Source organism: Homo sapiens, chromosome 12 (assembly GCF_000001405.40).
Source record: "Homo sapiens chromosome 12, GRCh38.p14 Primary Assembly".
In the NCBI taxonomy this organism is placed as follows: domain Eukaryota; kingdom Metazoa; phylum Chordata; class Mammalia; order Primates; family Hominidae; genus Homo; species Homo sapiens.
In genome coordinates this window covers 120,186,198-120,201,180 of record NC_000012.12, presented here as the reverse complement: position 1 = coordinate 120,201,180, position 14,983 = coordinate 120,186,198, and the positions used below count along the sequence as shown (strand labels likewise).

The following is a 14,983-nucleotide window of genomic DNA, read 5'->3' as shown; positions in this document are numbered from 1 at the left end:
GGAGCGCTATCCGCGGTTTCTGATTGGCTACTTTGTTCGCATTATAAAAGGCACGCGCGGGCGCGAGGCCCTTCTCTCGCCAGGCGTCCTCGTGGAAGGTTCGTGTGCTAGTTAGATGGGCGCCAGGGGTCGCCGGCGGGAAGCATGGAGGGGTCTTTGGGGGCCTTTGGGAACATGGAGTCCTATTCTGTTCCGCCTGGGGCCTCGGTGGCGGCTTGCACGCCCCGAGATGACGGCCGCTGCCCTAGGCAGGGCCGGCGGGCGATTGCGCGTGTCCTGCTCCTCTTAGGCCCGGGACCGCGGGATGGGTGTCGGCGTGACCAGGCCTGAGCTCCCTGTCTCTCCTCAGTGACATCGTCTTTAAACCCTGCGTGGCAATCCCTGACGCACCGCCGTGATGCCCAGGGAAGACAGGGCGACCTGGAAGTCCAACTACTTCCTTAAGATCATCGTAAGTGCAGGGTGGGTCGCCTCTGCTCTTCATGTTGCCCCAGCGCAAATAGGGACAGTCAGCTGCTATGTGCTGAGGGTCTACTCACACCGGCTACTGAATTAGGCCATTTTTGGGAAAATACTGTTTAGTTAACAATTTCCTGAGATAGGTCCCTTCTGTTGCAGATAAACGGGCTCAGGCAAGTTAAGTGGGTCCTAAGATGACAGCATTCGTATCCAGGTCTGTCTGGCTTCTAAAAGAGCGCGCTTTATACTTTTTTTTTTTTAAACGGAGTCTCGCTCTGTTGTCCAGGCTGGAGTGCAGTGGCTTGATCTTGGCTTACTGCAACCTCCGCTTCCCAGGTTCAAGCGATTCTCCTGCTTCAGCCTCCCGAGTAGCTGGGATTACAGGGGCGCGACACCACACCCAGCTAATTTTTGTATTTTCAATAGAGACAGGGATTCACCATGTTGGCCAGGATGGTCTCGATCTCTTGACTTCATGATCCACCTTCCTCGGCCTCCCTAAGTGCTAGGATTACAGGTGTGAGCCACCGCGCCCGGCCGCACATTACAGTTTTACTCCATTTTTGAGAAGGTCTGAGGTCAGGAATGACTCATTGTAAGGAAGCAAGCTGTTGCATATTTAGGACCTGTCAGCCAAGAAACTTAAGTGTCCAATGACTTTTGGATGGCCTTTGAGGTGGGTCTCCCTTGCCCAGAAATGCTGACTGTACTGCGCTTAAGCAATTAGGCAGCATTGTAGAGCATAGCTTGTATTACATTTTCCCACACTTAGAAGGTTTTCAGACACAAAACCCAAAGGAATTGTGTAACAATCCGGATAAACACGCCTAGATTGTTTTTACAAATAATAATGTTGCTATATTTGCTTAACGTGGTGCTTTTAATGCTGTGAATCTAGCCCTCCTCTTGACCAACTTACTTGGAACATTCCTTTTTTATCCTGTTAACCATTTTAGTGAATCAGAAGCATGCCTGGTAATTGGGAAAAATTAAAAACTAAGTAAAAAAAGAAAAAACTCCTTGATTGAATGTAGAAACCTAATTTTCAGCGTTCATACCCAGCTAGCCAATCATCCAGTTTGGCAGTGTTACAACGTAGCTCCCAATCTCCCTCTGACTTCAAAAGCTTAGAAGAAAGGGAGTGGGATGGAAACAAATTGTGGGGTTCAGTTTCTTCTGGCATTTTTTCCCTCTCTCTTCCTGTTAAACTTGGCTCCTCTGGCTTGTTTTTTGTAGCAACTATTGGATGATTATCCGAAATGTTTCATTGTGGGAGCAGACAATGTGGGCTCCAAGCAGATGCAGCAGATCCGCATGTCCCTTCGCGGGAAGGCTGTGGTGCTGATGGGCAAGAACACCATGATGCGCAAGGCCATCCGAGGGCACCTGGAAAACAACCCAGCTCTGGAGAAGTCAGTTCCCCTGGCAGTTTTGTCCTTTCTCCCCAGTGCCCGTCTCCCTCTTCCTGGAGAATGGTGCTGAAAGGTGATTGTCTCCCATAAACTTCTCTTTGCAGACTGCTGCCTCATATCCGGGGGAATGTGGGCTTTGTGTTCACCAAGGAGGACCTCACTGAGATCAGGGACATGTTGCTGGCCAATAAGGTAAGGGGACAATTGGGTTGGCTAAAGAGACTTTGTTGTTGCTCCTTAAAGCAAAATGGACCATTCTCAGGTTGTGTGAGTGGAGAGGCTTTTCTCACTGTTTGTTGTCTTTGTCAGGTGCCAGCTGCTGCCCGTGCTGGTGCCATTGCCCCATGTGAAGTCACTGTGCCAGCCCAGAACACTGGTCTCGGGCCCGAGAAGACCTCCTTTTTCCAGGCTTTAGGTATCACCACTAAAATCTCCAGGGGCACCATTGAAATCCTGGTGAGTGGACCTGGTTTGCCTGTGCTAACCAGGCAAATGGGGAGCTGCTTTTAGTGGCCATGGATCTGCTGGTTGTCCAACAGGTGTTTACTGCCCCACTATTATCTGGTTCAGAGTGATGTGCAGCTGATCAAGACTGGAGACAAAGTGGGAGCCAGCGAAGCCACGCTGCTGAACATGCTCAACATCTCCCCCTTCTCCTTTGGGCTGGTCATCCAGCAGGTGTTCGACAATGGCAGCATCTACAACCCTGAAGTGCTTGATATCACAGAGGAAACTCTGCATTCTCGCTTCCTGGAGGTATATGCTGTCAGCCTTGCCCCCTCTTACACTGATGGTTGAGAGCATGACAAGGTTCAGACTGAGTCCCTGTAACCAAGGACTGTGTTTTCATCTGTCTACCTACCTCATCTGTAAAATGTCAGTAACAACATAAGATTGTTGAAGGATTTTTTTTTTTTTTTTTTGGAGACAGAGTCTTGCTGTGTCGCCCAGGCTGGAGTGCAGTGGCACAATCTCCCGGCTCACTGCAAGCTCCGCCTCCGGGTTCACACCATTCTCCTGCCTCAGCCTCCTGAGTAGCTGGGACTACAGGCACCCGCCACTACGCCCGGCTAATTTTTTTGTATTTTTAGGTTTCACCGCGTTAGCCAGGATGGTGTCGATCTCCTGACCTCGTGATCCGCCCAACTCGGCCTCCCAAAGTGCTGGGATTACAGGCATGAGCCACCACGCCTGGCCAAAGGATTTAATGAATTAATGGATGTACAGTGCTGGGGCTGTTATTCTAGGGCCTGCATTGAGACTCACATTTTGCCATCAAAAGCCTTTTAAGAGGTGGAGGTTGCGGTGAGCTGACATGGTGCCACTGCACTCCGGCCTGAGTGACAGAGTGAGACTCTGTCTCACAAAAAAAATAATGCCCTTTAAATAATGAATAATAGTGATAGAAAATGTCATTTCTTGGACAAATGAAAAATTGAAATTAATGTATATAATTAGATATTATTAGCTACTCTTAGGTAGCTTCATTTGTTGAAAGTTTGACAAGTGAATGAAGTTCACATCTGGAAATCGTTGAACATTTTTCGTTCATGGAACTCAATGGCTACGTTAGTCGTTTATGCTTTTCACTGTTGTGGTAGGGGCTTTGGAAGTAAATGCCATCAACAATGGATACAGAAGACCTGGATTTGGAATAAGGGCAAAATTTATTTGATGGGGCTGAATTGCTCTGCCAGGAGCATTTGGTATGAGATGAAATGGCCTCTCTTGAGACTGAGCTGCCAACCTGGCAATTATTGTCTGCTAAGGGTTCTCTTTATTCACCCTTACTTGGACTTCCTTTCCTGTAGGGAATCTCACGTAAAATGAAATCTTCCCTCCCCCAGGGTGTCCGCAATGTTGCCAGTGTCTGTCTGCAGATTGGCTACCCAACTGTTGCATCAGTACCCCATTCTATCATCAACGGGTACAAACGAGTCCTGGCCTTGTCTGTGGAGACGGATTACACCTTCCCACTTGCTGAAAAGGTAAAAGGATCCCACCAGGACCACAGTGGGCCTGACTGTGACAAATTAGCAGGGTGATGTGGCCTTCTACCTTACTGCTTTTATAGTTGTATTTTATATAGCAGATAATTTTGTGAGGGGATATTTGAGAGGTTGGGAGGCAGGGAAGGCGTTTCTCACTTGAGAAATGACAAGAGACCCAAAGAGGGGGTTAATGGGCAAGAGCTGGGCCTTAGGAACCCTGCCTCACTAGGCCATACCCAAGCTGTCCTGCTTGGGCTGCTTCTGACAGGAAAGGCTTCACACGGACTTTGATATTGTTGGTCCTTAAACTCTACCAAGGCAGGAGGGTGGTGGGTAATAGAGGAGTGTGGATGACCATTTTGACCACTTCCCCCCTCCTTTCAGGTCAAGGCCTTCTTGGCTGATCCATCTGCCTTTGTGGCTGCTGCCCCTGTGGCTGCTGCCACCACAGCTGCTCCTGCTGCTGCTGCAGCCCCAGCTAAGGTTGAAGCCAAGGAAGAGTCGGAGGAGTCGGACGAGGATATGGGATTTGGTCTCTTTGACTAATCACCAAAAAGCAACCAACTTAGCCAGTTTTATTTGCAAAACAAGGAAATAAAGGCTTACTTCTTTAAAAAGTCTCTGGACTCTTAATTTTGTAATTTTTTTTCCTTTTTGACACAGGGTCTGGCTGTTGCCCAGGCTGGAGTGTGGTGGTGTAATCATAACTCACTGCACCCTTGAACTCCTGGGATCAAGGGATCCTCGTATCTCAGCCTCCCAAGTAGCTGGGACTACAGGCACACACCATGACACTCAGCTACTAATTTTTAAATTTTTTTTTTGTAGAGATATTGCACAAGCTGGTCTCAAATTCCTGGCCTCAAGGAATCCTGCCTCAGCCTCCCAAAGTGCTAGGATTACAGGCTTGAGCCACCATGTGCCTGGCCCTTAATTTTGAGGTTTATAGTGCCATATGCTAGAAACGAAAGCCATGGTAAAACCAGAGCTTTGTATTTAGGTGTTGATGTTTGGGTATCTAAATGAAGCTACCAATCAAACATCCTATACAGTTTTCTAGACACAGTTGTAACTATTACACTAGAATTACTGTTTCTATGGCTGCTGCATACTTGGAGTAGGTTTAGTGTCAGCTGAGATAGGCACCTGGTGGATGCTGGGGCCAGTCCCCTAGAGTAAAGTTTTTCAAACTGGGTGGTGCTCCAACTCGGTGGTAACCAATTTATATTTTCGAGATAGTCTCAAATATATTTGAGACTGGGGTGCAGTGGCTTGGACTTGGCTCACTGCAACCTCCGCCTCCTGGGTTCAAGTGATTCTCCTGCCTCAGCCTCCCAAGTAGCTGCAATTACCGGAGGCTGCCACCACACCGGGCTAATTTTTTTGTTGTTGAGACAGTCTCGTCCTGTCACCCAGACTGGAGTGCAATGGTATGGTCTCAGCTCACTGCAACCTCTGCCTCTCGGGTTCAAGCGGTTCTCCCACCTCAGCCTCCCCAGTAGCTGGGACTACAGGCATGTGCCACCACTCGGCTAATTTTTGTACTTTTAGTAGAGACGGGGTTTCACTATGTTGGCCAGGCTGGTCTGGAACTCCTGACCTTGTGATCTGCCCGCCCTGTCCTCCCGAAGCGCTGGAATTATACAAGGGTGAGCCACCGCACCCGGCCTTTTTTTTTTTTTTTTTTTTTTTTGGTATTTTTAGTAGAGACAAGGTTTTGTCATGTTGACCAGGCTGGTCTGGAAATCCTAACATCAGGTTGATCTACCCACCTCAGCCTCCCAAAGTGCTGGGATTACAGGCGTGAGCCACCATGCCTGGCCCCAGTATTTAAAGAGAAAGCAGCATCTGCTGAGAATAGGTGTTTTTGTTGTGATTCCTGTATTTCACTTAGAGATCTGTCTGCTGGAACATGATATATTCATTCTAACTAGGTCTGTGTCAAAGGTTTGAAAGCCACTGCTAACAGGGCTGACAACTAAGCTGTGGAGACCCTGTTCCCTAAATTGCAGCCACGTCTGCACGTAGCCTCTTGCCCTGTGGCCTTCAAAACTCCCAGCCTGGGGCGTCCAGCATTTCCCCAGGGCAGGGGCCTCGTTCAGTTCTGAACCTTCCCTGACCTCCGTATCCAGCCACGTTTGCTAACCCTGTACAAGTCATCCGCCAACTGAACTACAAACTGAGGACAAAAGACTAGTTCACCGACTCTTTTACCTAGTTTTTAGTTCCTGCTATCTAGGAAGCAACACTTGTTTTTCTAAAGAACTTAGTCATCACTCAGGAAAGGCCCACGTAGGGCTGGCCCTGCGGGCTGGAAGTGGGTCAGGGGCTGCAAGGCGGGCCCATAGCGTTACACCGCGGGCTCACCACGTTACAAGCGCTAGTCTCCCACGAGGCGCCCGGGGCTGAAGAGCGGGCCCTGGGGAGGAGGCCTTGTGGCTCGGGCGCGGGCCAACTTTAAGCCCGTGATCCGGCTGCCCGGGCTGCAGCGGCCGCCGTCCTGCCCGGGGGCACCAAGCCCGGGGCCCTGCCCCCGCTGGCTCCCGGCCTCGCCCTGCCGCGTGGGCCACGCTGTGACCCGGAAGCGTTCCGGAAGCGGTTCCGGAGTCAGCCCCGGCAGGATGGCGGCGGACACGCAGGTGAGGCGGGCGGCTGCGGGGCCAACGCGGCCAGGGACTGGGTGCGGACGGTGGCCGTCGGGCGGGGCCCCTCTCGCTCCTCGGCTTAGGGGCGTTGGAGGTGGTGGCTGTGGAGGTCGTAGTCTCGGGGCCGTCTCAGGCTGGACTCTCAGGGCTGCGGGCTTGGCCCGGCCCGGGCGGCGCAGGCAGACCGCGGGCTCGAGGAGTCCGGGGCTCCCGCCTCGACTTCAGCAGCTGGAGCTCGGCGGGGCCTTTGCCCGACCCCAGAGTTGCAGAAGTTCACTTTACCGAGCCTCTACTTCTTTTCTCCAAAGCCCTCCGGCTGTGAGCCCCGGGCCAACGCCAAGTCTTCCTTAAACTTTGTATTCAGCAAATATTCTTTGAGCACCTACTATGAGCAGGGACTTTGAGTGTAGTCTTTGGATTCATACAGATCTGGGCTTGAGTTCCTGCTCGTCGATTTCTGTGACATGCCAAACAAGTGACTTAACCCCGCCAAGTCTGCCTTTTCATCTATAAAATGAAGTTAAAACAATACTTATCTTAAAAGGTTGTTGTGAAGGTTCAGTGAGATAAAATACGGCTTGATATATGTTGGTTGTTATCAGATCCAGGGTTAGTGAAAAGAACTGTCCTGTCCAGGAAGAGTGTTACCTATGGGTACCTTGTAGTTCAGGAAGGACCTGGGAAAACCTTTTCCTCCACCCAGTTGTTATGTTTTAAGGTGAAAAGACATTGTCATGAGGCAGGGGAAGAACAGGTGTCTAAGGACAGCTGGGCTGATTTGGTGTCTCCAGGGTGATGGGATTGATTTTTATGTGTAGGCCCAGAAAATGACCACTTAAGCATTCAAAAAGACATTTACTGAGACTCCTATGCAGGTGGCTGATGTTCAAGTTATGTTGTACTGAATACTAGAAAGAAAAGCTTAGTATGAGAGGGTTAGGGGAATACATGCTGAATGTTTAACATTGATACTCACTTGAGGGAAAAATCTCTAGAGCTGCAATGTCCAGTATGGCAGCCACATGGCTTAAGTTTGTTAAAATTAAATTAAATAAAAAAATTCATTGTTTGGCTGGGCGTGGTGGCTCACCCTGTAATCCCAGCACTTTGGGAGGCCAAGGCGGGTGGATCAGTTGAGGTCAGGAGTTTGAGACTAGTCTGACCAACGTGGCAAAACCCCGTCTCTACTAAAAATGCAAAAAATTAACCGGGTATGGTGGCATGTCTGTAATTCCAGCTACTCAGGAGGCTGAGGCATGAGAATCGCTTGAACCTGGGAGGCAGAGGTTGCAGTGAGCTGAGATCGCACCACTGCGCTCCAGCCTGAGCAACAAGAGTGGGACTCTGTCTCAAAAAAAAAAAAAATTTAGTTCTTCACTTGTACCAGCCACATTTCAGTGCACAGTTAGCCACATGTAGCCAGTGGCTACCGTATTGGGTGGTGCAGGAGAATATTTCTGTATTTTATAATTTTTGTATTTTTAGTAGAGATGGGGTTTCTCCATGTTGGCCAGGCTGGTCTCGAATTCCTGACCTCAGGTGATCCTTCTGCCTTGGCCTCCCAAAGTGCTGGGATTACAGGCGTGAGCCACCGCACCTGGCCTGAAATTATTTTTTATTATTTTATTTTATTTTTTGAGACGGAGTTTCTCTCTTGTTGCCCAGGCTGGAGTGCAATGGCACGATCTGAACTCACTGCAACCTCTGCCTCCCAGGTTCAAGCAATTCTCCTGCCTCAGCTTCCCGAGTAGCTGGGATTACAGGCATGCGCCACCATGCCCGGCTAGTTTTTGTAGAGACAGGGTTTCACCATGTTGGGTAGGCTGGTCTCGAACTTCTGACCTCAAGCAATCTGTCCGCCTCTGTCTCCCAAAGTGCTGGGATTACAGGCGTGAACCACCATGCCCGGCCTTGTCTTCAGTATTCTTTTTTTTTTTTTTTCGAGACGGAGTCTCGCTCTGTCGCCCAGGCTAGAGTGCAGTGGCACAATCTTGGCTCACTACAACCTCTGCCTCCCGGGTTCAAGCGATTCTTCTGCCTCAGCCTCCCAAGTAGCTGGGATTACAGGCACCCGGCACCACGCCCAGCTAATTTTTTTTTTTGTATTTTTAGTAGAGACGCGGTTTCACCATGTTGGCCAGGATGGTCTCGATCTCCTGACCTTGTGATCTGCCTGCCTTGGCCTCCCAAAGTGCTGGGATTACAGGCGTGAGCCACTGCACCCAGCCTTGTCTTCAGTATTCTAAAGGAAAATGATTTCAACCTAGAATTCTGTATTTGGCCAGAACATTTTCATACTTGCAAGGAGTTTACAAAATGGAGGCTGTGCTTCACCCAAACACAAGAAAGTACATGTTCAGGGTGATAAACTGTGCCCCAGCTGTAGAGGATCACATGCCTAATTGGGGCAGGTCAGAAAACTCTGGGAGAGATTTCCTTAGGAAGGTGGAATTTGATGGAATACCTGATCTCCCTAAATGTACTGAGATTTAGACAAATGGCAAAAAGTTTGGGTTTTAATTATTTATAAGAACAGATAAAACAAGTCAAACTGAAGTGAGGTGGGAAAGGGTAATTATTAACACCAGGGGCATAAAAAAGCTGGGAAGAATCAGAGTTTATTAAATGGATGTTGAATGCCATTTACATATAATGTAATCACTGACTACTGACCTAGCCTGTATGTGAAACTGGGGACTTCCACTGGGGAAATGGGGAGGGTGTGCGATGGGGTCACAGCAGGAAAGGGAGCTGTGGTGGAAAGGTAGCAAAACTGAAAAATCAAGAAGCACATGCAAGTTACCTCCATATTTAGAGATACTTAGATATATGGAGGTAACTACCCAAATATCCACCAGATCAACCTAAGGGTTGCCCATGGAGAGTGAGGGCAAGGGACTGGTTTTTATGGCAGACTTCTCAGAACTCTTTGGTTTTGACTCTGTGTGCATCTATGACTATAAAAACAAAAGACATTTTAAAGTTAAAACTACATTATTTATGTAGAAGACAGTTTTGGACATCAGTTTCTTTTATTCATTGCCAATAGAATTATGGCAGGGATTTAAGCACGAAAAACTCAGCATTATTTTATTTCTGTGTGTACGCTTGACTCTTACGCTACTGATAAGGCCTGCCTTTGAAATACCCTCAAAAGAAAAACATGATAACCCCACTGTGTTAAGTTACATGAGCCTTATCATGCCCTGCTCTACGGCTTATGAATCCACAACCTGTCCACTTGGTAGCTTGTAGAATATTGCTCAAGAGCAGATTTTCAGGGATGTTTGCAAACTGCCCCCCATCACTGGGTCTTATGCTTATGTCCCTATGCAGGGGACTGCAGCTGTGGTAACTCGATGGCTGTTGAAAGCTAAAGATTTGTTAGCATCAGTTTATAGACCTGTTTGGTTTCAAAGTTAGTTTCAAAAACGCAGGTGCTGTGGCTCTCGACCCCACTCTGAGCAGTGACTTCCTCTCTTGGAGATGGTTTCTTCATCGCCTATAAAATGGGGATACTGATGCCTCCCTTGCAGGCTTTTTGGTAGTAGTAGCCAACTTTTTGCTTGGGATGAGAGTAGATGCACCTTATACGCAATCTCATTTAAGCTCCATAACAGTCATATGAGGTAGCTGCTATTGTCCGCATCTTATAGATGAGAAAACTGAAGATTGGGGGAGTGACATTATTTGACTAAGTTTCTACAGCTAGTAAAAGGCAGAGCTGGGATCCAATCTCCTAACCTTTCCCCCTTTAGCCAGTGTGCTTATCCTCTGCCAGTGAGTTGCCAGGATGCTGACATTCCCTTTATGGGGAGGTTAAAGTGAGATAATGTAAAGGGAACATAGTTGGCACGTACCAGGCCCTTGCTAGATTTTGGGTAGTTCTGAAGGGATATTTTCTTTTCAGAGGTCTTTGCCTTTCCTCTTATTGCCAAAGTTTAAATAAGGTATATTGATTTGTTGACTAGTTGAATTAAAGCAGTACATCTCAAGTGGGAGTGATTTTGCCTGCCAGGAGACATTTGACAATGTCACAACTGGGGCGGGTGGGGAAGGTGGGCTGCTACTGACATCGAGTGGGTAGAGACCTGGAATGCTGCTAAAAACACGGCCCCCACAACCAGAATTACCCGGTGCAAAATGTCACCAGTGGGGAGGTTGAGAAACCCCAGGTTAGAGAGATCCCCAAATTCTACACCCACCCCTCAACACACACACTCATAGTTTTATAGTCTGACTAGTGAATTTTTCTGTTGCTTGGCCTTCACAGGTTTCCGAGACACTAAAGCGTTTTGCAGGGAAGGTGACAACAGCCAGTGTAAAGGAACGGAGAGAAATCCTCAGTGAACTTGGGAAGTGTGTTGCTGGAAAAGGTATTTATTTTTCATCCACATACCCTGGACAATATTCATTGTTTTTCTTTCTTTCTTTTTTTTTTTTTTTTTTGAGACAGAGTCTCTCACTGTTGCCCTGGCTGAAGTGCAATGGCACGATCTCAGCTCATTGCAACCTCCACCTCCTGGGTTCAAGCGATTTTCCTGCCCTCAGCCTCCCGAGTAGCTGGGATTACAGGTGCCCATATCATGCCTGCCTAATTTTTGTATTTTTAGTAGAGATGGGGTTTCTCGAATGACAGTGTTCCATATCAAAAATAAATTTTGTGGTTTTTTTTGTGTTTTTTTCTTCTTTTTGAGACAGAGTCTCACGATGTCACCCAGGCTGGAGTGCAGTGGCACGCTCTCGGCTCACTACAACCTCTGCCTCGCTGGGTTCAGGCGATTCTCATGCCTTAGCCTCTCCAGTAGCTGGGATTACAGGTGTGCGCCACCACACCCAGCTAATTTTCGTGTTTTTAGTAGAGATGGGGTTTCACCATGTTGGCCAGGCTGGTCCTGAACTCCTGATCTTAAGTGATCCGCCTGCCTCAGCCTCTCAAAATGCCGGGGTTACAGGCACGAGCCACTGGGCCCAGCTGAAATTGCCTTTCTTTAGAACCATGGCCTTGGCCAGGCACGGTGGCTCACGCCTGTAATCCCAGCACTTTGGGAGGCTGAGGTCAACAGATCACAAGGTCAGGAGTTTGAGACCATCCTGGCCAACATGGTGAAACCCCGTCTCTATTAAAAAAAAAAGTACAAAAATTAGCCAGGTGTGGTGGTGTGCACCTGTAATCCCAGCTACTAGGGAGGCTGAGGCAGGAGAATTGCTTGAACCTGGGAGGTGGAGGTTGCAGTGAGCCGAGATTATGCCACTGCACTCTAGCCTGGGCAACAGAGTGAGACTCAAAAAAAAAAAAAAAAGCCTGGGTGTGGTGGCTCACGCCTGTAATCCCAACAGTTTGGGAGGCCGAGGCGAGTGGATCACGAGGTCAGGAGTTCGAGACCAGCCTGACCAACATGGTGAAACCCTGTCTCTACTGAAAACACAAAAATTAGCTGAGCATGGTGACGCACGCCTGTAATCCTAGCTACTCAGGAGGCTGAGGCAGGAGAATCGCTTCAACCTGGGAGGCAGTGGAGGTTGCAGTGAGCTGAGATCGTGCTACTGCACTCCAGCCTGGGCGACAGAGCAAGACTCCGTCTCAAATAAAAAAGGAACCATGGCCTTCTTCCCCCCTCCCTGCACAACTTCTGCCTTTACTTTATTTCCTTGCTATAGTGTGAATTGCAACAGTTAAAACTTTTGGGTTCATGGAGAGTTTATCCATTCAGGTGTGAAAGCTATTTACACTTTTAACCATTTTGTTTGGAAATATTTAAAAAAGATAGCTAAAACCTTTCTCAAGTAGTATACAGAGTACAAAAACTTTTTTTTTTTTTTTTGAGACGGAGTCTCACTGTGTTGCCCAGGCTGGAGTGCAGTGGCATGATCTCAGCTCACTGCACGCTCTGCTTCCCGGGTTCATATCATTCTTCTGCCTCAGCCTCTGGAGTAGCTGGGACTACAGGTGCCCACCACCACACCTGTCTAATTTTTTGTATATTTAGTAGAGACAGGGTTTCACCGTGTTAGCCAGGATGGTCTCGATCTCCTGACCTTGTGATCCTCCCAAAGTGCTGGAATTACAGGTGTGAGCCACCGCGCCCAGCCAAAAACATTTTTTTTATGACTTGGGATATCATTTTTCCCAATCTGTGTTCCGTGGAAGTCAGCACCATGGTAGTAGGTGATTGGCCAATAAAGGATTCCAAGATCAAATAAGTTGGGAGAGGTTTTTTTTTTTTTTTTTTCTTTGGTGAGACAGAGTCTCCCTCTGTCACCCAGGCTGGAGTGCTGTGGCGCGACCTCTGCTCACTGCAACCTCCGCCTCCCGGGTTCAAGTGATTCTCCTGCCTCAGCCTCCCAAGTAGCTGGGATTACAGGCACCTGCTACCACGCCCAGCTAATATTTGTATTTTTAGTAGAGATGGGGTTTCACCATGTTGGCCAGTCTGGTCTTGAACTCCTGATCTCAGGTTATCCGCCTGCCTTGGCCTCCCAAAGTGCTGGGATTACAGGCGTCAGCCACCATGCCCAGCCTAGAGGTCATGTTTTTGATGTCCTCTTGGAATATTCGCAACAAGGTGTTTTCACTTTATTAAGCTTCCTTGGATTCAGTGTTTTCTTTGAACCTCTTTTTTGCTGAAAATCTGTTGAGGGTCTGGGGAACACATTTTGGGAAATGCTGAGCATATCTGATTATCCTGATCTGCACCATAACCAAGGGATAGCTCTATGACTTATTAGAGTAAGACCATTTTGCCTTCACTCAATAAATTCTAGTTTTTTGTTTTTTTTTTTTTTCATTTCTTTTGGTATGTTTGTTTTTACCGTATAGCATTGGCTCTCAAAGTGTGGTCCCTGGACAGGCAGCATCAGCATCATCTTGGAACTTGTTAGAGATAAAAATTCTCAGCTCCATTGGAGCAACTCAAATCGGAAATCCTGGAGGTGCTGTAGCCCCAGCTACTTGGGAGGTTGAGAGGTGGGAGGATCGCTTGAGCCCAGGAGGTTGAGGCTGCAGTGGTCCATGATTGTGCTACTGCTTTCCAGCCTGGGTGACAGAGTGAGACCCTGTGTCAAAAAAAAAAGTTTGGGCACAGAACCCAGCATTTGTGTTTTAACGAGTCCTTTAGGTGATTCCTATGTTTACTAAAGTTTGAAAACCATGGCCATGGCTGGGCTTGGTGGCTCACACCTGGAATCCCAGCACTTTAGGAGGCCGAGGAGGATGGATCACCTGAGGTCAGGAGTTCAAGACCAGCCTGGCCAACATGGTGAAACCCCGTGTCAACTAAAAATACAAAAAAATTAGCTGGGTGTGGTGGTGGGCACCTGTAATCCCAGCTACTTTGGGAGGCAGAGGCAGGAGAATCGCTTGAACCTGGGAGGCGGAGGTTGCAGTGAGCTGAGATTGCGCCATTGCACTCCAGCCTGGGTAACAAGAACGAAACTCTGTCTCAAAAAAAAAAAAAAAAGAAAATCATGGCCATATAGATTGGGTCTCCCTTTCTGTCCACTTTTACTTCCTATTTCTACCACTTCACCCAACTTCTCATTTGCTGCTTCTGACCTGCTTATGCCTAGTAAGATACCCAAGCTTGTAAACTTGCTATTTGTGAGCGTCTCAGAGAGTCTCTTGTGTGTTAATGCTTCAATGTATGAGTTTTATGGCATCCTCGACGGTTTTTCTGGTCACTTTCCCAGCAGAGCCCTCTAGTTAGAAAAGGCAGCCATGTGATACCGATCTTTCCAGTCACAGGCCTCTAGTGCAGCAGTCAGTGATGAAGGGCTCAGATGGGCTGTGCCACTTACAGGCTGTGTGACCTGCTTCAAGTTACTTCACCTCTCTGAGCCTGTTTCTTTGCTTTGAACATGGAGATAGCAGTAGTACTTCCCTGATAGGTTGGAGTAAATGTAACGCATTGTCTGGGTATGGTAAGCTCACAGTGTGTGTTAGCTGTTATTGTCATTGTCTTAGCCACAACCTGTTTCTGGCCCCAGTCATTCTTTTTCCCCAGTTACTGAAATAGCCCCAAATCACATGGACCAATGCAGTGGTCAGGGCCCTGGGGAAACTGCGTCCCTGTACCTCATTCATTTCTCTTCCATCATTCAGGTGCCTGAAGTGTGAGGAATGGTATGGGCCTCCTGCTCTCAGGTTCTTCCTACACCCAGTATAAGTCTGTCTTACACTGCAGGTTAAATTTCCTCCTCCTCAGAAGCTCCTCCCTTTTGTTTGCGTGCTTCACTGTGTCATGCAGCACTTGTCACAGGTTGGCTTTCCAACATTATTGAGCACTCTTTTTTTTTTTTTGAGATGGAGTCTCGCTCTGTCTCCTGGGCTGGAGTGCAGTGGCGCCATCTCTGCTCACTGCAACCTCCACTTTCTGGGTTCAAGCGATTCTCTTTGCAGCCTCAATCTCCCAGGCTTAGGTGATCCTCCCACCTTAGCCTCCTGAGTAACTGGGATTACAGACACGTGCCACCATGC

At 48.2% G+C, this 14,983-nt stretch overlaps 2 protein-coding genes across 3 annotated transcripts in view, besides 4 other annotated features; both read left to right on the top strand.

The window, feature by feature from the left end:
- Window positions 70–4,482, top strand: RPLP0 (ribosomal protein lateral stalk subunit P0). Of its 2 annotated transcripts, none has more exons than NM_001002.4 (8): window positions 70–98; window positions 350–451; window positions 1,696–1,871; window positions 1,976–2,063; window positions 2,181–2,327; window positions 2,442–2,627; window positions 3,719–3,859; window positions 4,247–4,482. In NM_001002.4, exons 2-8 carry the CDS (start codon window positions 398–400, stop codon window positions 4,406–4,408), a joined length of 954 nt encoding a protein of 317 aa, NP_000993.1. In that variant the 5' UTR covers window positions 70–98; window positions 350–397; the 3' UTR covers window positions 4,409–4,482. The 2 variants fall into 2 exon arrangements, with proteins under 2 accessions (NP_000993.1, NP_444505.1); NM_053275.4 differs by having other exon boundaries at window positions 290–451.
- Window positions 315–384: an enhancer, noted in NCBI's record as "active region_7133". NCBI's record gives its function as "activates an Ori minimal core promoter by ATAC-STARR-seq in GM12878 lymphoblastoid cells {active_cell/tissue: GM12878}" and the evidence as "EXISTENCE:reporter gene assay evidence [ECO:0000049][PMID:35858748]".
- Window positions 1,425–2,366: an enhancer, noted in NCBI's record as "H3K27ac hESC enhancer chr12:120636618-120637559 (GRCh37/hg19 assembly coordinates)". NCBI's record gives its function as "activates a minimal SCP1, AML or CMV promoter by ChIP-STARR-seq in primed H9 embryonic stem cells {active_cell/tissue: H9 hESC(primed)}" and the evidence as "EXISTENCE:reporter gene assay evidence [ECO:0000049][PMID:30033119]".
- Window positions 2,486–2,985: an enhancer, noted in NCBI's record as "H3K4me1 hESC enhancer chr12:120635999-120636498 (GRCh37/hg19 assembly coordinates)". NCBI's record gives its function as "activates a minimal SCP1, AML or CMV promoter by ChIP-STARR-seq in primed H9 embryonic stem cells {active_cell/tissue: H9 hESC(primed)}" and the evidence as "EXISTENCE:reporter gene assay evidence [ECO:0000049][PMID:30033119]".
- Window positions 6,169–6,758: a silencer, noted in NCBI's record as "silent region_4942". NCBI's record gives its function as "represses an Ori minimal core promoter by ATAC-STARR-seq in GM12878 lymphoblastoid cells {active_cell/tissue: GM12878}" and the evidence as "EXISTENCE:reporter gene assay evidence [ECO:0000049][PMID:35858748]".
- Window positions 6,466–14,983, top strand: part of GCN1 (GCN1 activator of EIF2AK4) — a 67,514-nt gene continuing 58,996 nt past the window's right edge. Inside the window, exons 1-2 of the mRNA NM_006836.2 lie at window positions 6,466–6,501; window positions 10,781–10,883. Coding sequence (NP_006827.1) covers window positions 6,484–6,501; window positions 10,781–10,883 — 121 coding nt within the window. The 5' untranslated portion in view covers window positions 6,466–6,483. The remainder of the gene's footprint in view (window positions 6,502–10,780; window positions 10,884–14,983) is intronic.

Excerpts from the sequence above, each read along its gene's own strand:
- RPLP0 (NM_001002.4), top strand. The coding sequence starts at position 398 with ATGCCCAGGGAAGACAGGGCGACCTGGAAGTCCAACTACTTCCTTAAG. Across the intron at positions 2,328-2,441 it reads GGGGCACCATTGAAATCCTG|AGTGATGTGCAGCTGATCAA; the intron begins GTGAGTGGACCT and ends TATCTGGTTCAG. Across the intron at positions 3,860-4,246 it reads CCTTCCCACTTGCTGAAAAG|GTCAAGGCCTTCTTGGCTGA; the intron begins GTAAAAGGATCC and ends CCCTCCTTTCAG.